Raw genomic sequence first — 22722 nt, 5'->3', positions numbered from 1 at the left:
TGAAGCTTTTTATTTTCATCGCTATTCTTTTCTGTTTTATCCAAATATTCTAAGATGAATACAGGAAACTAACATAAACAAAATGCTATTAAAAAAAGAAAAATGGTCACTTTTTCCCAGTTACAGAATACTCCTAGTATACGAAGAAGCCTTTGCTGGGTTTGGCATAGCTAATTCCAACAGTGAGGACACAGGTTTTTCCCACACCCCCATCATCACCATCAGACACTACTCATCCAGAAGCATGTTTAGAAATATTTTATGTGTGTCCTCCTGTCTTTATCAAGGAGCATGGTGGATGGGGCTCTTTCCTTGAATTACTCAGGGACTCCAGAGCAGAGTCTGTCAGCCCCACCATGGAGCTGACTCTCAGGCCTCCCTACAAAGGATTCAATCCACGAGGGGTTTTTATGACAAATAACATTTGAAGAGTCTCAGAAATGAAGCCATGTGTCCAAACGCCCTGTGCAGATCTCTGTAGGGACAGTGTATGTTTTCAGACAAATTGCATTCACTGGACTGGGAGCAGATCTGAATCTCATAGGAAAAGGTTCCTGCCTGCACTCCAGCAGCTGCAACAGGGTTGATGAGCTGAGGAGGCATATCAGTCTTTACTGCAGCCGGTTCGCCCAGTAAACCTGTTTCCTTGCTCCTGCAGGGCTGCTGCTGGCCTCTGAGGCTGTGAGTGTTCTGGGGACCAGCTCCTCCTCCTACCTACCTGCCTGCATCTGAACCAGGCATCCCTTCTGTGTGGCATTTCTGTTGACAATCTAGTGGTCACGCTGCAACTAAGCAATGATGATAATGTAATGATACTATGTTTAACAGCTGATGTTTACTAAGTGCTTACACATAGGATGTATTTAATTCTCATAACCAGTCTTTCAGTTAGATGTGATTGTAGCCCTGTTTATAGGTGAGGAGACTGAGCCTTAGATGGGTAGATGACATCCTCGGAATTACACAGGCAGTGAGCAGCAGAAGCATGGTGTGAAGAAACATAGGTCCTGTCTCTCAGTCCTGGGCTCATTCTTCCATGCCTACCTCATGGCCCTGTCACCTTGGGTTACACTCCAGCCTTTCCTTCTATACAGGAGGCTTTCTATTTAAAAACAGATTTCTTTATTTAGCATATATTTATACACTTCTAAATTTATTGGCCGCTGAACCAGATACTTAAGTATATTTTAATTTCTCAAATCTACATGAGATCAATGAAATAAAATGCCCTTGGAATTATTTTTGAATTGCCTCCCCACCCCCTAGTTGCCTTCTTAATTCTCTTATCCCCTTCCTAGCCACATTCTTTAAATGGGACGTCTACACTTGGAATGAGGCTTTCTTCAGTGCCACCTCTTCCAAGGAGTGGCCCTTGTAAATGTCCCCAGTGCTTTCCTCATTGCTATAGCCAAAGGGTGCATCGCAGGCCTTATACTTCTCTTTTCAGATTTGATGATACTGACTGCTCCCTCCACAAAAATCTTACTGCCCACTTGAAACTGTCTATCAATAACTATGAAAGGCCTAAGATTTTACCTTATTTGGAGGCTCACAAGGTAGACTGCCACAGTTTCATAGATGCTGGCAGAAGACATGAAACTTCTGGGTCAGAGACAAAGAACTTTGTTATTCACCACACAGCAAGCAGCATTAAGTTTCATGTTCTCATTAGTTTCCTTTGTCCCCCACCAAGCCCTGTGGGACTTATGCCAGGTCCCTCCTGACTCTTTGCAGGAGTTCTAAACCCAGAAATCAACCCAAAATGAGCAGTCAGCCACGTACATAGAGGGCTCTTGGAAGGGTTTCAGCACAGCTAATCAAAAATGATTTATGTCTACTTCTATTTCTTCTGACTTTTAATAAAGAATAATCAAAAGCTATTCTTTAGAGACTGCCAAAAAGGTACAAATGTGATCTTAAGAGAATCAATGGGCTAGATTTTAGCAAGTTTCTAAATGTCATGCCGTGGCAGCAGGGTGACTAGAAGTGAAAAGAATACGCATTACAAGTGAATTGTGGGAATTTCACCTAAATATTTTCTGGCCAGGAAATTCCTGGAGCAGTTGGAACAAATGACAGCTGGAAATGCTGGGCCTAATTTTATTTTGTTTTATTTTTATATTTTTATCTTTATCATTTTTTTTTATTATTTTGATGCCAAGAAGTTCAAACCAACACACTGAAGGCTTCCAGGATCCTGCATTAGAATATCTTCTGTAAACCAGGCATAGTATCTGTTGTGCAAAACCAGAAATGGTTTCCTTTTATTAAAGACAGTACTGTTTCCACTTCTGCCAATTACAAGTCAATTTCAAGGCTTCCTGCTCTTTCTGAAATAATGACAGCCATTTTTGTAGTCTTGTCTTACCTCTTTGTGAAGGAAATAATGTCATGACACTAAAGGAGAGTGGATGGGGAATTGCAAAATGGCAAGGCCATTACAGAAACCTTGATAGATAATCAGACGGTAGGAAAACAGCACTCTCTGTGGCATCAGGTGCAACTCTTGCCTTCCTCTTTAGGTGGTTCCTGAAAATAGAGGGGTCTTGCCTGGGGGTGGAAGGATGCACTTGTGCTGGGGACAGAACATTAAAGTGTAGCTATTACAGCTCCTGTTCTTCCAATGAGTGTGTGCTCTCAAACCAAGCCGACTTATCCACATAAAACAAAGTAAGCCAAGGGAAGTTGGAATTTGAGTTGTTTTTAAAGAGCAAGGCAAGCAGTTGAAAAAGGGGAAAGAAAAAGAGAGATTTCAAAGGCAACATAATCAGAGAAACATAAACATAAAATGGGATTAAGCAGAACCACCGATTAGGCTGTAAAATGCCTTTCTTCAATTTAGAACATGTATCCCTCCTGTACGGATGAATTGGAAGAAAAGGGGTTCACCTTCTGGGCAGATGCAGCTCCATAGATATGTAGCTTGATATGCAGATAGAGCCCTTGGGCAAAGCACAAAAGTGACCTCCCTCCAAGGGGGCTCAGTAAGGACTCATGGCTGTAGTCAGAACTCCTGGCTCTGCCAATAGAGTATGGGTTGGGTTTGGGGGCCACAACTCCCGCCTCTTAGCTGGGCACTGTTGGTGCAGTGACCAGTTGCTCATCCTCAGGACATGGTCTTAGATTTAAGGAATTTTTCCATTCATGTGTTCTGTGGTATTATTTGGCCCCTTGCTTTCCATTAAGGGACTTAAGAGGACATCAGCTTTTAAGTCCTTGAGACCCAGGGTAAAGTCAGCAGAATTTAGCATCACCAGGGAACCAATTAGAAATGCTAATTATCCAGCCTCACCCCAGACCTCCTAAATTACCCTCTAGGTGATTCTGATGCACATTAAAATTTAGGAACTACTGTTCTAGTCTGAAAGAGTGGGGATAAGGAAACCTCACCCCAACCTAATAGTATACCAGGTATGCCATAACTTAATAATATATTAAAAGAATCTGATGGCCAAGAATATAGGAAGATACTCTGTTCCTTCTTACATATATATTTCTGACCTAAGGTCTTCCAAGATTTCCAGAATGCTAGGCATCTGGGCTTCTATCACAGCATTTCCAAAACTGTTTTCTGTGAAGCAGTCATTTTCTGCAAGTTATCATTAGATATTCTTTGAACAAACAAAGTAAGTTTCTGGAACACTGCACTCTCTACCCTCCTTTCACAGAGTTGCTAAGTGTAGCTGTGTACTGTTTAGTACTAGGTGGCAGATGGGTGATGTGATTAATGTCTCAGTGTCTGGTATCAGATCACCTGGGTCCAATCCTAACTCAGCCCCTCAGCAAAGTGATATCAGGTTTTGTTCCTCCTAGTAAGGTTCATGGACCAGCAGCATCAGCAAGACCTGAAGAATTCCAATCCCCATCACAGGCCTTCTGAATCAAGATGTGCATTTTTAACAAGATCCCCAGGTGGTTTGTATGCTGTAGTCTGAGAAGTACTACTAAAAGCCATATTGCTTGACCGCTCTCTGCCTCAGTTTCCTTATTCATTAAATAGGAATTACTAGTAGGACTTATCTCACACTTTATCAGACATTGGAATCCCCAGGAAGGTTTGTTAAAACAAAAATGGCCTGGCCCCATTCCCAAAGTTCCTGATTCATTAGGTCTGGGAATTTATTAGATGGCGCTAGATATTTCACTTTTTTATTTGTTTTATTTTTTTTTTTTTGAGATGGAATTTCTCTCTTATTGCCCAGGCTGGAGTGCAGTGGCACGATCTTGGCTCACCTCAACCTCCGCCTCCCGGGTTGAAGCGATTCTCCTTCCTCGGCCTCCCGAGCAGCTGGGATTACAGGCATGCGCCACCATGCCCGGCTAATTTTGTATTTTTAGTAGAGATGGGGTTTCTCCATGTTGGTCAGGCTGGTCTTGAACTCCCTACCTCAGGTGGTCCACCTGCCTGGGCCTCCCAAAGTGCTGGGATTACAGGCGTCAGCCACCGTGCCTGGCCTGAGAATTCACATTTTTAACAATTTCCCAGGGGATGTTAGTGCAGCCTGTCTGGGGACCATGGTTCGAGAACCATAGCTCTAGATTTTTCTAAGAGCATTTCTGTCTCCATGCCAGACCTGTTTTCCTCCATGAAGTATACTATTTCAATGCTCGACTTAGTGTTTATGTTTTACTCTTTCTACTGTTTTTACAATCTTAATCCAGCCTATAAATTCCTCTGGGCAGAAATTATACCTTCCACACTCTTTCATTTTCTGTTTTGTAAAATAATGAGTACATCTTCAGCATGATTAATAATAGAATGGAGAAAGGGGAAAAACCTCAGACTATCAACCCCAGTAAACAACATCTCCAAGTGGATATCAGCCCTAGAATTATCTTACAAATTTACATTTCTAACAAGTTCCCAGATGAGGCCGATGCTGTAGATTCAGGGACCACTCTTTGAGAAGAACTTTGACAGGGACTTTAAGAGGATCAAGTGAACAGTCTATTATGTAAGCCATTAACACAGTGGCTGGCACAAAGTCAGCCTTCAAAACTGTTAGTTGATGTGACTTTTACTTGATAAACGCTCAGATAAATCTTGTTAAGTTGAACAAAATGTTTATCAAGCTCAGCTACGGAGTGATTTATTTATGTGAGATGGAGTGACATTTCATAGGAAGCAGTGCTTAATTACAGCTATGCTCACACCTGGTATTGCCAGTGTGCTACTGAGGTCAGTTCCCAGCCCCATGTGTAAAAAAAAAAAAAAAAAAAAAAAAAAAGCAGATTTAGAAACAGACTGCCAGAAAATCTCAAGGCAGTAGCTCATTGGATTTCAGGAAACCCAACGTATAATTTACTGTAGGAGAAGGCAGAGACAGGAAAGTGCCAAGTGGAATGCATGCTTTTAGTGTCCTGGACAGATCCCCTTTGCAGGCAAGTGCCCTCAACCCTAGAGCACTGGGCATGTCGGCTGCTAAAGCCTCACAGCTTCCTTTTCCCAGAGAGCTGCCCTCCGTCAAGTAAGAAGTTTCCTCCTCTCTCTGCCTCGTGAGCCCTGACCAATGACTGATGGACACAGTAGTTCAACCACAAGGTACCATCCACTCTGGGGTACACTTCATGCTCCATGACTCCTTGTGGGACCAGGCTGGAGCTTGACTCCAGTTGTGATCTCATCCTTTCTTAGCCCCTTTTCTCACTCTGTCCTTTATATCCTTTCTCCTGAAAGCACTTGATAAATCTCCATGTGTCAAAGTCTGCTTCCAGTGAGCCCAACCAGAGACACCACCTGTTGGGGCCCACTGGGACATTTGTTGAGTTGACTCGTGGAATCAGAGGGCCAGACGATGATTTCACTTTAGAACAACACACATATTGACTTGAAAATCTTGCCACAGAAGGAAAAGAAGCATGCCCTAAAAGTTCAGAGGAAGGATATACTTAAATCTGAAAAACTACTGCAGGAACCAGAAGAAAATTTCCGAGAAGCCAAGTGGTAGATAAGGGCCTTATCTGACGGAATTTTTCCTGGACTTCTGTGTGCACACATCCTTGCTATGCTTCTTTGTGGCATTTCCCAGGACTTTGGGCTTTCCTTCAATGTCTTGCTCCATCTTCCTGACATCCTAACATTTGTATCTCTGTGCATTTTTATGCTACCTGATTTCTGGGTTTCACCGTATTAGCCAGGATGATCTCAATCTCCTGACCTCGTGATCTGCCCGCCTCAGCCTCCCAAAGTGCTGGGATTACAGGCGTGAGCCACCACGCCCAGCCCAGTTTCCTCTTATATATGACAGCGATAAGAAGTGTGCCTACCTTATTTTTCATGGGGAATAAATGAGAAAGCATATAAAACATTTAGCACATAGTAGTGTTTAGCTGTTATTAGCTTAATAAAGAAAAAATAAAAGTGTTTATGATGTTATAAATAACTCATATTAGAAAATATTGAGCCAAAGCCTCACCACTAACTCATTCTTATCCCCCATGGTGGCCCTGAAATGCCTTGCTCAGCAGTGGGGAAGATGGGCTCCTTTTGATGACCCCCTGCTTCCAAGGCCCTCCTATTCATTAAGTGATCTCTTCTCCAAATCAGGATACATTCCTGGTGTTTGCCGGAATTTTCCCGCCTTTCTCCCTGCACTACTTTGGGAATTTCCGGGGCATTGCATGTGGTGTCTCCTAGGTTCTCATAGTGGGGTCCAAGTTGTGCCATCTCCTGCAAAGATGCCTCAAGGCATGAGGAAGCTGGATGGCAGTTTCCGCCCAAGTGACCTTTCTCCCCTTCCATTACCTTGTACTGGTTTTTATTCGGGCAAGCGAATGGAAACTTTCCAGCTCAGAACAGTGAAATTGCCTGCTCAAGTCTGCATAGCTTGGAAGCTGCAGAGCTGGCATTTGGCTTCAGATTCTCCTCTTACAGCCCCATGCATGTTGCTCTGATGTGTACTAACTATTCCACATGTTGGTTAGTTTCTGGCATGAGAGGGAGTTATGGCTGCCTCTCATTCTGCCATGGCTTTTGAACAATACCATTTTTTTTTATGTTCAAGTATAAAGCAAATACGTGTTTGAGACAGAAAGTTTGAAGAATGTGAAAAAGTAAAAAGCAGCAGCAAAATATTACCTACAATCTCCCTGTAGCCTGGAGCCTGTAGCCTGTAGCCTGGAGCAAGTCTCTCTTAGCTGCCCTTTGATGGGGGCCTGGGATACCCTGGGTTTCTGGCCTTCATGATCACTGCCTTCCCCTGGTATTGGTCTCCCCTCATTTGCTGCCATAGAGCTGAGCAGTGTGGCTCTACCTGTACCTGTGCCCCTCTCCTGACAGGTCACTGTAGAGGGTGAGGAAAGATGACATAGATGAAAGTAGGTTATGCACATGGGGAAACTGTTTACTTGGTGCAGGAAACAATGAAGATCGCGTTGCGAGACTGGGAGACTCAGGGCATGAGAATCATAAGTCATAAGGTTTCCCTAAGTCCAGATAATTAAAGGAGTCAATTTCACTTTTTGGGGAAAAACGTTTTCAAATTAAAGCAGGCACTGAGAATATGGTCTTAGTAAAAACAGTGCTTGACTTGAAGTTGGAAAACCTGGATAAGGGGCTTGTGTACTCTACACATTTAGTTAAACTGTTAGACATTTGGATTTTTCTTCTGAGAAGAGCAGCAGTTGTACACTCCCCAAACAAGGCTGTGAAGACACAATGAAGATTTATACAAAAATACCCAGCTCAGGGGCTGGCACATAGTAGATAAATATCCAGTTAATAACATTAATAAACATCCACTCAAACTGCACCAACATGCATGTGCCTTACCAGTTCTCATAACCTGCAACTGTGAAAGAGGTTTGTTCAAACTCAGGATATCCCTCCTGAGATTCAGGATGCTGAAGACAAAAGCCCACGTGTATTCACCTTGATTCTAGAGATGTCTACCAACTTGGGAAGCTTTCAGACAAGCTTCTAAAGATGAACAGAGGAAAGTCCTTCAGTGTAAAATGGGCAACACTTGTGGGCAAATGTGTGTGGAAAGTTTGTATCATACATAGATAAGATTCCAGAGATGGTGTGACAGTTGTGAGAACTGACTAGAGATGGCTGTGAGCTGAACGTGGCTTTTTACGGAAGACGGAGTGTCCCCAGGGAGACCAGACCCTCCAGGCAGAGAAAAGAGCATGTGCCAAGGAAGAGAGGTGTTGGAAGGCTCCCATCCCCTCCCTACCTGTGGTGATAGCTTAGGGCAGGTGGGGCTCAGAGCCTGTGGGGTGGGGTAGCAGGGCACCAGCCACAGGGCCTGTGAGCCAGGCGGTGTTTATTCTCCATGGGCTGGGTTTTCACTAAGTCTGCTGAAGTTTGTCTGAAAGAATGCTATGAGTTCTGCTTAAGGGAAAAAGGAAAATAGGGAGGAAAGTTAAGGGGCTACATGCCAGCCCCAAATGCAGGCTGAGCCAAAGTGTTTAGAAGGAGCCTTTTTCCTCTCTTCTTACCACCAGGCCTGTGTCCTCAAATCAGCTCACTAGCAAAGTTTATTCTTGAATCAGCTCATTAGCACAAACCAGCCATGAAAACTCCTGCCCTTTTTTTTTTTTTTTTTTTTTTTTAAAGAGGCAGGGCCTTCCTCTGTCACCCAGGGTAGAGTGCAGTGGCTTGATCATGGCTCACTGCAACCTTGGTTTTTGGGCTCAGGCGATCCTCCTTCCTCACCCTCCAGAGTATCTGGGACTGAAGATGAGTGCCACCATGCCTGGCTATTTTTTAAAATTTCTTGTAGAGGCAAGGTCTTGCTTGCTACCTAGGCTGGTCTCAAACTCCTGGCCTCAAATGATCCTCCTGCCTCAGCCCTTGCAAAGCACTGGGATTACAGGCATGAGCCACTGTGCCTGGCTGGAAATCCCTTATTATAGTGGAAAGTCTTGAGCCCCAGGGGTGTGAGGATGGGTGGATATCCGTGTTGGGAGTCACCTAGAAGCCTATGATGCTATGATTCCTCCTCTCCCTCTCTTCCTCTGTTCTGCAGCAATGGAATGGCAGGGACACGGCCCTGATGGTCACCCGTGTGGTCAACCACAGGCGCTTCTCAGCCACAGTCAGTGTGGCAGACACTGCCCAGCGGAGCGTCAGCAAGTACCGCTGTGTGATCCGCTCTGATGGTGGGTCTGGTGTGTCCAACTACGCGGAGCTGATCGTGAAAGGTGAGTGCCTCCAGCCTGCGCCTCTACTGCCATGGAAGGTTGGCATTAATGGGCCTTAAAGCCCCTTTTCTCATCTGCTGATCCTCCCCCACATTCAGTAAAAGAGGAGATTAATTTCTAGTCACTCTGGCCTCCCTCCCCAACACAAACTCCCCAAACGGGAGAAACTATGGTAAAATCATGCAACATTGCATTGCTATTCCAACTTGAGTCTCACATACAAGAGCCATACGTGAAAGACTGTGGAATATATAACACAGAAGACATCTTCAAATTTGGCTTTATTTTGTATTTAAAGTTAGAATGAACAAATGTCCTTGTATTTGGGTGGCATGCTGTGGCAGTGTTCTCGTACTATTGTTTCTGAGGGATTTTTTTTTAAAAATTGAAAACTCAATACAATGACAATATTTTGGAAGGACTTTTGAAATGAATAATTCCTCACCCCACTGGCCTTGATTCAATTCTTTTCAATTTTCTTGTTCTTGTTCACCTTGAGATACTGTTTACATGCTTTCCATTAAAATATGCAGATTGTTTTCTGCTTCTCTCAAAAAGCCAGATATCCCATTTCTTTCTGCAACTTTGTCATCTTTGTTATGATGCTTAGTGATCGTATGCTATCTCATCCAATGAGTTATCCTATTTTGTTAAACCCCCCCATTTGCAGTCATTTCGATAATTCCACGTGTCTTGTTTTTTTCTTTCCTTTGTGTATGTAACAATTAGCACCTCCATGGAGTTCTTCTGGAGAGAACATTTTATTCTATTGAACCAGATTATTTCCTTAGGATAAATTCCCTGGGGGTAGAGTTGGGAGGCCAAGAATATGAGCATCTTTATGGATTTTTCTTTGTGTTGCAATATTGCTTTTGCAAAAAAAAAAAAATGGTTTGACAGTTTACACTGGTAACTGCAGTGTATGGATGTACTCATTTTACCAATGTTATGTTTGCCGATTAAAATTTTAATATAGCATAATTTAGTGAATGAAATAATGAAGCTTTTCTTATTATGCTAGCTGTAGAATGAGACCTGGTGTGTTTGAAGGGAAAAAACAAAAAGCAAACAAAAAAAACCCCACTGATCGAGCCTTTGAGGCCTCCTAAGTTAGTTTCCTTTGTCAAAGTATGGGTGGGTGTGGAAACTTTGACCTCATTTTGCTGACCCAGTGTGACTGGGATCCTTGGGCCAACTGGACTGGGGGTTGCAGGCTGGGATTCTCTATGCTGGCTGTCTTGACTTCATACAGACATTCACATGGCTGATCATGTGCCATCATTCAGGTCTCAGCTGAAATGGCAGTATGTCGTCTTCTCCCAGAGAACTTCCCTGACCCCCCGCCCACACCTCCCTTCCTGGTGGTCACAGTTCCTTCTCATTACCTGGTCTCCTCTTCCACATAGTTTTTATCACACTTTAAAATGCTGGTTTGCCTTTATTTGTTTACTTGGTGACTTTTTGTCTCCCCTTTTAGGATCTAAGCTCTGTGAGAGGAGGGCTGTCTGCTGGGTTGGAAGTCCCTGCACTCAGCGCAGTGCCTGGCACTGGTTCTCAGTTTGCTAAACCATATGAAGTGTTAGTGTTCGCCTGTTTTGACTTGCACAATCAGTCATTTCACAAGGCTCAACTTGAAAAAATGTGTGGACTGATAGAAGAGTGAATGAATTATTGGCCTCAGCAGGAGTTTATTATTTCCTCACCACAATGCCATGAACACTTAAGCCAAAGATCAACAAGTTAGGCACTTATGAAAAAAAACTTTAAAAATCTTTAAATTTGTTTACATTAAATGTTATTAACATAGAAAAGAAGCCACCACTTTGATGGCATTAAGCTCCTATCTTTGCTTTGTTGATGCCATAAGATTAATTTGTGTGGCCCGGTATGGTGGCTCACGCCTGTCATCCCAACAGTTTGGGAGGCCAAAGCAGACAGATCGATCACCTGAGGCCAGGAGTTCGAGACCAGCCTGGCCAACATGGTGAAACCCCGTCTCTACTAAAAATACAAAAAATAGCTGGGTGTGGTGGCATGCGCCTGAGGCCAGGAGTTTGAGACCAGCCTGGCCAACATGGTGAAACCCCGTCTCTACTAAAAATACAAAAAATAGCTGGGTGTGGTGGCTCGTGCCTCTAGTCCCAGCTGCTCGGGAGGTTGAGGCAGGAGAATCGCTTAAACCCAGGAGACGGAGGTTGTGGTGAGCTGAGATCATGCCACTGCAATCCAGCCTGGGCGGCTGAGCGAGACTCCATCTCAAAAAAAAAATTTTTTTTGAAGATTTATTATTATTATATTTGTATTATGTGACACAGGGGTTATTGCAGGCCATTCAGGTTCTCAGTGAATGTGTATTTTCAGATGTCCTGCTGGAATGTGTCTTATACCTTCCGTGGCTGGTCTCCCACACCAGATTGAGAGTCCCAGGAGAGGGTGTGCTGTGTTCATTCCCGCTCCTCATGGTCTTGCTAGCACCTTGCATGTACATGGGGCAAAGTTGGTGGCAAAAGAATGTGACCAGTGGCTATGGGAGTTAGTTTAGCACTCTGAAATTCCCATGAGCAGACAAATGGAACCAGAAAACGCTTGGTTTATTATTTGCTTATATGCCCCCATTCAGGGGCAGGATGGGAGCTATGGGAAGAGAAACCAAGAGGCTACTGGGACAGAGGATGTGGTGGAGCATCCTTGCTTTATTCGGAGAGGTGGCCAGGGTTTACGGGGACACTGATTTGTCCTCTGCTGGTTGTGCATCCTGGGCCCAAGTCAAGAGGAGGGGCTGGTGCTAGCCTGGGTGCAGTAGCCAGGCCTGGCAATATGACTCCGCAGCTACCACTGCTCTGAAGCCACTCACCTGCAGCCCCTGCCACTCCAGCTTAGGGAGGGTGGGGTGGTGGGTGGCACCCAGTCTCCTTCACATTGAACAGTGGGGGGTTGGCACTTCCTGTAATCTGGTCAATCAAGGTGTAATTTTATTACACATCGATGAAATTCATCCATATTTTTGGCATAGGTTATCAGTTTTTTAGTGCCCATTTTTCCTCCATTTAAATATTATGATGGTGGTAAGCTAGGAGCCTGGTCCCTTGCATGTAAAGAAGTCCCTTCAACATATGTTACCTGATTTTTTCCTAATTGCAGCTCTGTACATTGGTTTTATTTTAACTCATTTCATGAGTGGGAGAATTAGCACAGCCAGGTTGAGAAACAGGACCATCCCAAGGGGTACAACTGGAGTCCGACCTGCATCTGGCTCATGCTGTTTGGTCACACCTGGAGGGCTGGTGGGTTGTGGTCTTGCTGTTACCTGGTGCCACAATGTCATGAGCAGTGCTGAAGGGGCCCAGGTACCAGGCAAGCAGGATTCCCTGGGTCCGTCTAGCTAACTTGCCATTTTGACACGTGATATTCCCTTCCTGACTGTCAGCTAACTTCCAGATTGCTGGAGAAATACATTTAACCTACCCTCACCCCCTGCCCCGACCCCAAACACACTGCTAAAGAGTTAGTGGCATCCAAGCAAAACAAGAAAATAAAAGGCAGGGACCCCCTCAGGAGCAGAAGCAACCAGAGGAAACCTGTCACCCTGGAGTGGGTGCCCAGGGACCCATTTGAAGGCAGCAAACCCAAGCGTTTGGAAGAAACTGTGTGATGAAGAATGACTCACTTACCTCTCAAGAGCCCTTTGCCTTTGCGGAGCCAGGATGCTTAAGTACTTTAATACTGAAGTATTTGTACTTGTTTAAAAAAATACAAGGGAAAAGCATTAATCCTCCTTCTTTCAGAGAAGGGAGAAAATCTGAAAAACAGACCAAAAAAGAAAAAGGATTCTCAAGGGCCAAGTGCTGTGTTATGGGATGGGATCTGGATTCCTTCTTGGACTGACGTCACCCACAACCCTGGGATATCACAGAAAGAAAACCATGTCTTCAAGGTCTTCCTCCTCACAGGTTCCCACCCTTTGGTTCCAGTTCAGGGCAGGAGATAACTCTGCAGCCAAGATGCTTGGGTCTGAATTCTGGCCCCACCTTGTCCCAACTCTGTGACCTTGAACATGATCTAACCTCTTGGGGCCTCAGCTGGCTCATCTGGGAACAGGAATGTAGGATTACCTCCCTCAGAAGGCGTCATGAGGATGACATGTGATAATGGATGTAGGAGTTCTTAGAACAGTGCCCTGCATAGGCACTCTAAGGTATTTGTTAAATAAAATAAATAAATTGCCCATAGGGGTGGGATTTATCAGACAAAGAAGTAAGAGAGATGAAGGACTCCATGGGTGGGGACAGGACATTGGACCCAGGTGCCGATTTGATGACTGTCTCTGTGGCTTTGGGGAAATCATGTCAGGCCTGTTCTGTAAAGTGTGGCCCAGTTCTCTGTTGGTACACGGTGATGTGCCGAGTATAAGAAGAGGGAGGGAGGAAATATGAAAGTGTGGACTGGGGGACATTTGGGTCATGGGGTCTTTTATTAGGGTTCTCTAGAGGGACAGAAGTAATAGGATATATGTATATATGAAGGGGAGTTTATTAAGGAGAACTGACTCACATGATCACAGGGTGAAGACCCAGATGGGCCGTCTGTAAGTTGAGGAGCAAGGAAGACAGTAGTGGCTCAGTTAGAGTTCCAAAACCTGAAAAGTAGGAAAGCTCGGCAGTGTAGCCTTTAGTCTGTGGCCAAAGGCCCGAGAGCCCCTGGGAAACCACTGGTGTAAGTCCAAGACTCCAAAAGCCAAAGAAGTTGAGGCCTGATGTTCGAGGGCAGCATAGGAGGAAGACGAAGGCAGGAAAACTCAGCAAGTCCGCTTCTTTCACCTTCTTCTGCCGGCTTTTTCTAGTTACGCTGGCAGCTGATGGGATGGTGTCCACCCACATTGTGGTTGGGTCTGCCTCTCCCAGTCCGCTGACTCAAATATGAATCTCTTCTGGCAACACCTAGAAACACCCAGATACACCCAGAAACAATACTTTGCATCCTTCATTTCAACCAAGTTAACACTTAATATTAACCATCACAAGTCCCTGTAGGTCAGAATTCTCTGGTCCTTTCCTGTGTTCACCCCTACTGGATCGGGAAAGCTGATTCCCGGGTCTGGGGACAAAGGAAAAGTAGCTAGTTTTGTTTGTGCTCAGCCATCTAGTTACATGGACCACCCCTCTCCTGGTATTGTTCATTCAAAACCCTAACCACTCCACAGTTGGGAGGTCACTGGGCCCTTCAGCACCCGAGGGTTCTGGGAGCTGTAAACCCCTGTGCTGGCTTCCACAGCAGGTACTCAGGCTGAGAGGAACAGCAGAGGCCCAGGCTGGTCTCTCTTTCTCCCCAAACAGGCGTATTCATGGCTGACTGGCTCACAGCTCACGTGTGATCCTGAGATGGTAAAGATTAGCACTTCAGAAGATGCTGCCTAATGTGAGGGTAGGTAATATCAAATTCTCAGGGCGACACACAGACCGAAATGAAAGCAAATTGGAATTACTTAATTCTGGGGAGCTGTTTATTGAGTTGTGATAATGTACCTGGGTATACATTAGATTACTCTGTAATTGAGGTTTCGCTCAATTGACAATTCGGCCCCTCAACCTACCTGGTCCAGACCAGTGCTCAGCAAATGCTTATTCATTTGCTTTGCTTCTGGTTTTCTGAGTGTCTTCAATTTCAAGGTGTCTTAGCTGGCCTCAAGGACTTGAGTGTCTGCAACCAAAGTTATGCAGATGTATCTTGATGAAAATTTTCTAATTCATAAAAAGTTTCTTGTCGGTGGTGATTTTTAAACCAATCTTTCAACTCCATTTAACAACCTATTATGCACTCAGAACACTCATCAGTATGAGAATTAGTGCTCAGAAGAAATGTGATACTAGTGCTGTTAGAGGTTCCGATTTAAACACTGATGTGACTTCCTACCAAGGGAGGTTGTTAGGATCAAGAGTAGGGATTATTGTTCTAAATACACTTGAGTTTCCATCTTAGTCCTGCTCCCTGGTACCTGTGTGATTCAGCAAATCATGTATTTACTCTGGGCGTCATTTTCCTTATCTGAATAATGGAGGTGAATATATATAAATAGGTCCTATGAGAGGGAGAAAATATAACATACATATAATATATAAAACACATATATATAGCATAATATATATGTAACATATATAAACAGATACATCCTAGTACTAGAAAGTATAAAATTATGTCTTTAGTAGTAATCATATTTTTTACATTACTATTAAGGAATGTTTCCCAAAGACATTGTCCATTGTTTGTTTTCCTGGATTAAAGGAATGATATTCTGTACATACTATGAAAATTTAAATTTAGATCATCTTAAGGTCTCCCTCTTCTGAAATGGGATTGAGGTCATCCAATCCAATCCATTGTTTGAAGTCAGTTGCGAAAGTGCTTTACTTACATTGTACTGTCTTCTCTTTCCTTTTTAAGTTTTTTTTCAGCATTTACAAGTTTCTTGAGACTGTATCAGGCATAGCTACCTGGAGCCTACATTTTAGGATGGCAACAGTGGGCTCCTCAGCGTCCCTGTTTTGGAAGCACACGTTCCACCGTTGACTGCTGTCCTGGCTGGTCCCGTTTTGCTCTCTCACTAGTCTGGTGCCAGCAGTGATTTGCATTTATAGCCTCTAGTTTAAAGATGGAATGCCTGGAGTAGCTGACTCATTCCTGTATTCATTTGCTTAATAAAGGTTTATGGAGCCCAACTGTGTCAGGTTCTGTAATAAGCTCATGGTCTAGCAGGAAGAATCATGCAAATCTGTGCTGCATGGTCAGTTAATGTTAGCCACCTGCCACACTACCTCCCTAATCCTAACAATGGCCCTATGACGTAGGTGCTGTTAGCAACCACCTTTTACCAGTGAGAGCATGGAAACCCAGAGAGGTTCTGGACCTTTCTAAGATCATACTGCTCATAAGTGGCAGAGCTAGGCTTGCCTTGCCTTGGCCATGCTGTCTCTTTTATACCACATTTCTTGCAAAATCCAGTATGGTAGACCCTGCATTCAGGTGTGAGCTAAAGGTGTACAGAGGTTGGAACAATGAGCGCAGTCTGGAAGAGTCTGGGATAGCCTCTCCGACTGGCCCCATCTGAGATGGGTCCTGTGGCTTGGCAAGCTCATAAGCAGGACAGCCTGGGTTAGTTTTGAGACACTGAGTGGGTGACATGTTTGGGGCTGGATAAGTAGGCAAGGGGACATTTGCAGAGTCTTTGTACCAGAATAGGAGCCTGGGCTTCATCCTGTAGTAGTCTAGGGGCTGTGACGGACCCTATCCATGGCCATGGATAGTAGTGTGCACACTCATAAGGTGGGATCTCTGCATCCAGCTGTTCTTCCTTTCTCTGGTCCTGCAGGGAAAAACCATTGTCAGACAGCTGGCTATGGTCACTGGCACAGACTGCGTTGGAAAAGAAGAGTGAAGATAAAAGGCACATGGCGTTGAGACCCCTAGAAGCAGACTCAGGGCAGGAGTTCCGAGTGCAAGGTGCTTATTTGGTTTTAGGGACATGAGACAGAGAATCAAGGGCAGCGAATAAAGGGTACATTCTCAAGTGAGTAACTGCTGTGACCGTCTGGAGCTCTATCCTACTAGGTAATTCTGGGATTCAGTGTAGAACCCCTGGGGTGTGGAGGAGGGGGTTATTTGTACCTTAACCCCCTCCAGTCATTGGTTGAGAGCTGCTCTTGGGGGTCTTAATTTTCTGGCTTTACTGTCTTGTCATACAGGATGTAACCCCCCGCTCCCCAGGGCTTTGGCAGAAGCCCATGTCTATTAGCTATTTGACAGTTGGCAGAGGCAGTTGGAGGTTGGACTGCACTCGGTGCAATAATAAGTCCTGAGGTGGCGGTGGGACGCAACAGCTTCTGCTACAGGGATCCTACAGCCTCTGTGGCCTTCTAAGGTGACCAAGGCTGCTGGCTCCTGCCTCCTTGGTGGCAGCAGCCATGGAGGACAAGCTCATGCTAGGAGGAGAGGCAAAGCCACCTTGAGCTCTGTGCTTGTATAGGGAGTGGAACAAAGCAAAGGCTGGCCTCAGACTGGACTCCAGAGTTTCCATTCACGTTCTCCACAAGTCCTCAGAAGTAAAGAGGAGCTGGAGGGCTATATCACCCAGTGATCAGAGAGCAGGCATGGTATCAGAGAGCCTGGGCTAACATCTGGCCTCTGCTCTACCTCCTAAGTTTATCTAGAGCCTGCCACCTTCCACCACCTCTATTGTCAACATCCTCGACAAGGTTGGCAGACTTTCTCTCCAGGGCATTAGAGTCAATAGTTTCAGCTTTCCAGGTCATATGATCTGTGTAGCAAAGACTCAACTCTGCTGTTGTAGCAAAAACAGCCATAAAAAATATGCAAATGAATGAGCATGGGTTATGTGCCAATAAAACTTTATTTACAGAAACAGGCAGAGGGCTGGATTTGGCCACAGTTTGCTGATCAGTGCATGAGTCAAAACTCTATTCTGTTCTCAACTGCATGACTATTCCAGCTTCCTCCCTGCTCCACTCTTGCCCCATTGATGTCTATTCTCAATGCAGCAGCCTGAGTGATCATTTGAAAAAGTTAGATAATGGCTTTTTTCCTGTTGAAAAGCCTCCAGAATTTCCTGTCACACTCAGAATAAAATCCAAACTTCTTAACATGGTCTCCATATCTAGTCCTTGATTTGTAATGCCCCACCCCCATATTTGCCCTCTTATTCTCTTTTCTAGCCATGCTGATCCATTTCCTCTTCCTTGAACCACACCAAACTAGTTCTGACCTTTGCACTTGCTGTCCTTGCTTTGCCTGACATGCATTTCTTCCAGATAATTATGTAGCTCACTTGTTTTATCGATCTGGTCTCTGCTCAGACTTCAGCTTCTCAGAGAGGCCCCCTCTGATTACCTTATCTGAAATAACACTCTCCCCCACCTCCCACCCCTTCCCTTTGTAACTCTGTTCCTTTGCAGGGTGCTTTGGTTTTCCTCCTAGATCTTGTCACTATCTGACATTGTAATTTACATCTATTTGTGGATTACCCATCTTTCCTACTAGAACATGAGCTCCTGGAGGAAGAAGCTTTGTAAGCCTTATTTCCTGCTAGACCAGCAGTACCTGAGTCAGTACCTGGCATATAGAAGGGGCTTAAACATTTGCTGTATCCAGGGAAGAGTGCTCAGGTCCTTACTTTACAAGCATGTGACGAGACCCCTCACCATCCCTTCTTTTTTAAGGTTCTCGTTATTGATTGAGCTCCTGGTTTTCCTTCTACCTCTGAGAAAGTTCTGTCTCCTTTATAGGTATCTGTTTCTTTACCTTTTCCTTTAAGTATTACGTTTCCTTAATTCTTTTCTTCCTTCTTATGGGAGCTGTGAGCTTTGTAATTCCCTGTGCTCCTCTTATGGTCTTTCTTTGCTCTGATTTGGCTACAAATTTAGGGGGCTCAGTTGCCCTGCCAGAGCCATGCTACTTACCCACCCCACCATGTGCCCCTTAGAGTGGTCATTTTAAAAACTCCTGGGCCTTCTTCAATGCCTTTTCAAGGAAGGCTTGCCTCAGTGTGAGTTCTACCCATTCCCCCAAGAGCCCTGCATATGGATCATATATGCTCCAACTTAGGTCTGGAAGTTTTTTTGTGGTAGACTTAGCTTACCTCCTCCTCTCATCTCATGCCTGATCTTGACTTTCCTGGAACCCTATTTCAAAGCAGAGAAACCTCAACATGCTCATCTTCTGCGTGAGTTTCATTCTTTGTAGGAAAATATGCTGGTGCTTTGGTTCTTATTTTTTAATCTTTCTTTGGTCTTAACTTTTATTAATAATACTTGCATCATTTTTTTTCCCATGACTGCTATTGTCAAGAACACATAGATAGCAAATCAGAGGTCTCGGGTTCAAATCCTGATTCTGCCTTGTGTTAGCTAAGTGGATTAGGACCATCATTTCATGACTGCCTAATTGGAATAATAATGCCGGCTCCCCTAGATTTGGGTCAGAGGCCATGGCTATGAAAATTGTTCCTAAACAAAGTGCGTGCCTATGTTTGTGCTTCTCCTCATCATTCCCCATCCTCCTCATGGGTGCCCGGTTCCCCACCCTTAGCCTCTGACTCCTTCACTCTTTGATAACGTCACCATTAGCTTTTTATGGAAAGAGAAAAATGACAGATGGGAGAAAAGTGGGAAACTTCACTTGAACATATGTGTGGAGGGGAGGCTAACCGGGAGATATTATGTATATTGTAATCTATATGGGCACAAAGACCAGCTTATTTTTAAAAAAGTGTAAATGTGGATAAATAAAACCTGATAAGTATTGGTTTCCTTGAATTATTTTGACTACTTTATCAGCTGCATGCTGATGTGTTGCATTAACACTTTTAACGCATTTGGAAATTAAATCAAATGGCAACTGCATTAAATTCTCATTCACTTGGAACATTACCCTCCTGTGTTCAAATGGAAGAATGATCTGAGGTATGGAACAAGCTGCAAAGTCTGTAGTTAGCTACCATTTGTGGACCATTTATTGCATGCCAGACACTTCACTGACTGTCTTCTCATGAGGTTGTATTTAATCTTCACCATGGTCCCCTGTTACCACTGAGGATGCTGAAGTCTGATTACCCAGTCTCATCAGAGTCACACAGTCCAAGGCCTGCCCTCTTCCTATAATGAGCCCATAAATGAGACTATTTTCTGACCCTCCTTATGCTAATTTTCCATAATGTATTATTCCGTGACAGATATATATGGAATATTTTTTCTGAGAACCCAAGTTCCAGGCTAGGCTAAACTCAGTTAAACCCATGGGCTCCAGTTTAGTAAGAATGCTCTAGATCATTGCCTTTGTCCAGTCACTGGAGCCTAATTTATCTCTGAAACACTGCAGCCTCTGCCTGGACCAGTGATTCTTAATTGAGGGTGATTTTCCTTCCAGGGGACATTTGGCAATGTCTGGAGACATTTTGGATTGTCACGATGGGAGAGGGGGGGTACTGACATCTAGTGGGTGGAGCCCAGAGATGCTGTTAAACACCCTACGATACACAGCATGGCCCCCTGACAACAAAGAATGACCCAGCTCCAAAGGCCAGTCGTACTGGCCCAGATCCTGCCCCATGGGAAGGCTTTTGTACTTAGTGCCCTACTATTCATCTAGGACGCCAGGTGCAGAAACTGGATGGGAAGATACTTCCTCTGTGGGCCTCTGGCCAATGGAGCTGTATGGATGGGAAGGCAGAGCTGGTGACGTGGCTGTGAAGAAGTGGTTCCACTTATTTGAGCCCCAGAATCCCTTTCTGGAAAATTGACATATGTCTTCTGGTTTACTCTGACTAGTGATGCTTGGCCTTCCCTCTGCCATTTCCCCACTAACTATCCAGGGAAATACAGCAAAAGGTAAATGCAGACTGACTCCCCATTTCCGAGATCTGAGAGAAATTTTCTGCTACCTTTCAGGCCAATAAAGCTGGCCAAGTGCCCACCAAGCACATGTGCCTCCCTTCCATAGGATAAAGTGGTGAAGCAGCTGCCTAACCACGGACCTCATTCCCAGCCTGCTCTGCAATCACTAGGGCCCTGTGATAATAGTTCCAGTTTAAGGAATGTGAGCAGAACTGCTGCATGTCCTTTCAGAGTCAAAGAGTTAAAAAGCATGTAGTCATTCCTCATCTGCTCACCCCCCTCTTTGGTTAGCTGGATGCAGACAATTTCAAGGTGAGGGGAGAGTCAAAAGATTGAACACGCCTGGGTCCCTGAATCACCTTGTGGAGGAAAATTGTCTGCTAAGCAGGCCTGTTATTAATATTGAAGTGATAATAAACTATTATTGTGTTAAGCTACTAAGCCTTGGGGTTTATTTGTTACAGCAATTAGTATTTTCCTAATTAATACAATTTGGATCAAAAAAAGCCATTAGAAACCCCCACAGGCTTAATGTCTTGAATGAAAACTTTCTAGCCTACCTGAAAACAGATGGGAAGATGTTTCTTCCTTTCCCACTGATATTGGGCTTAAACGTCCAAATTCTGTACGATCTGAAAGCTGAGCAATTATCTTTTTCTTGTCACGTATTGATTGTTTTTGAAGATTTTTTTTTAAAGTCTCCTCCCAAATGTTCTTTCTTGATGTAGACTTTACAAATTCCAGAATACATGAGGGCAAAAATTGTGTGTTCTGTGTTATGGGAAGGGGTTAGAGACAGACTTGGCTATGGCCACGAAGCCCAAGAACTACATGAACTCAGGTAGAGTCTGGCCAGATGTGGCAGCTTGGAAGTCTGATCCTGAAGGGTAGGTCTTGCACTAGGAGTCGGAGGACTGGTGATCCTCCTGTCAGGCAGGGCCTGGTACATGAGGTAGGGTGTCCAGGTGAACAGTCCCAGCCAGCCCAGCTGGTCATGGGAACTGTCCTTGTACCTGGCCTCACCCAGCTTCCAGCCCAAGCCAGTTGGTCCACCTACCGGCAACCCAGTGACTCCAACCGCAGGTGGGTGGGTGGAGAAAAGGAGGTAGAGTAAAAGATTTTGCAGTTCAAAAACAAGCACCGCCAATCATTTAGAAAGGATTCTCATGAAGAAATCGTCGCAACACATTCAAACATTGAAAAAACAAAACAGTAGCAATTCTCAGGAAGCAGATGCCGAAAACAGCCGTATCTCAACAGTTGGGGTGGCTGTGGGTTCCCAATGTAATCGATGAGGTTCAGTATGCTCACGTTGTATTGTTTTTAAACTTCACCCATGCCCCTTGCACAACATGTGCTCATTTTGATCCAGGGAGCTCAGAAGCCGTGCTTAGCGGACATTTACCTAAGAAGAGATGTGGCCTTCATTCTCCTGCTAATTAGACTTAAGTGACCATTGCTCAGGGCCTTGACTTGACTATTTGTCAAAATAATGGGTTGTATTCTAAGGCCAGGCTTCACGCTTATTCCCGCCTTAAAACAATGGAATTCCTTTCTAAAATAGTATAAAAAACAAACGATGCAGCTCTGCAGAATCACAAGGTTCCTAGAATAGAATAAAATCTCTGCTTTCCCACCTCTTGGGCAGGTAGATTTCTTTGCTTCTTTAAAGTTTCTTTTTTCCCCCCTAACCCATATGATCCTTCTCCTTTTTCATGCTTTCCTAAACCTGGTAGAAAAGGAGGCTAGGATTTGGCCTCTTCTCTTTTAAAATGAAATGTGCTTGCACCAGCTTTTCATTATTAATCAGAGTAGCATGCCTGTTGCTTTATATGTCTATCCAGGGGCAGATGTGACTCACTTTCAACCCAGTAAATGGAAACTGTGCCTTTTTGATGGAATGCGGCCTGGTGGTACGGAGCAGGCAGTTATTGGCAGAGCAGCTGATCATCTGTTCTCAGTGAGGGAAAGCCTCCTCTTTGAGTTAATCAGCGGCAAAATGTGCTCTGTGGTTTGTTCTTTTAATCTCTTCTGCACGTGAGTGAGGAACTGCTGGGACCCCAGCAAGACAGGGCTGCAATTTGCTGTGCCTGAGCAAGCAATTGGAAAGGCCCTTCGTAAGGGGAGGTGAGGAGGCTGCACTTTAGAAGCAGGCAAACCTGGGGTTCATTCTTGG

The 22722-nt window shown here is 44.5% G+C and overlaps 1 protein-coding gene across 11 annotated transcripts in view, besides 1 other annotated feature; it reads left to right on the top strand.

The window, feature by feature from the left end:
* Window positions 1-22722, top strand: part of PTPRT (protein tyrosine phosphatase receptor type T) — a 1158017-nt gene that overhangs the window by 424298 nt on the left and 710997 nt on the right. For all 11 annotated transcript variants that reach the window (XM_047439848.1, NM_001394024.1, NM_007050.6 and 8 more), the window contains exon 6: window positions 8973-9147. In XM_047439848.1, coding sequence (XP_047295804.1) covers window positions 8973-9147 — 175 coding nt within the window. The remainder of the gene's footprint in view (window positions 1-8972; window positions 9148-22722) is intronic.
* Window positions 13478-14677: an enhancer, noted in NCBI's record as "CDK7 strongly-dependent group 2 enhancer chr20:41379572-41380771 (GRCh37/hg19 assembly coordinates)". NCBI's record gives its function as "activates an origin of replication core promoter dependent on BRD2, BRD4, P300/CBP, MED14 and CDK7 cofactors, with strong dependence on CDK7, by STARR-seq in HCT116 cells {active_cell/tissue: HCT116}" and the evidence as "EXISTENCE:reporter gene assay evidence [ECO:0000049][PMID:35650434]".

The sequence above is a fragment of the Homo sapiens genome, chromosome 20, assembly GCF_000001405.40.
Source record: "Homo sapiens chromosome 20, GRCh38.p14 Primary Assembly".
Taxonomy (NCBI): domain Eukaryota; kingdom Metazoa; phylum Chordata; class Mammalia; order Primates; family Hominidae; genus Homo; species Homo sapiens.
Note: the sequence above shows the minus strand (reverse complement) of the source record. Positions and strands in the feature narration are given on the sequence as shown.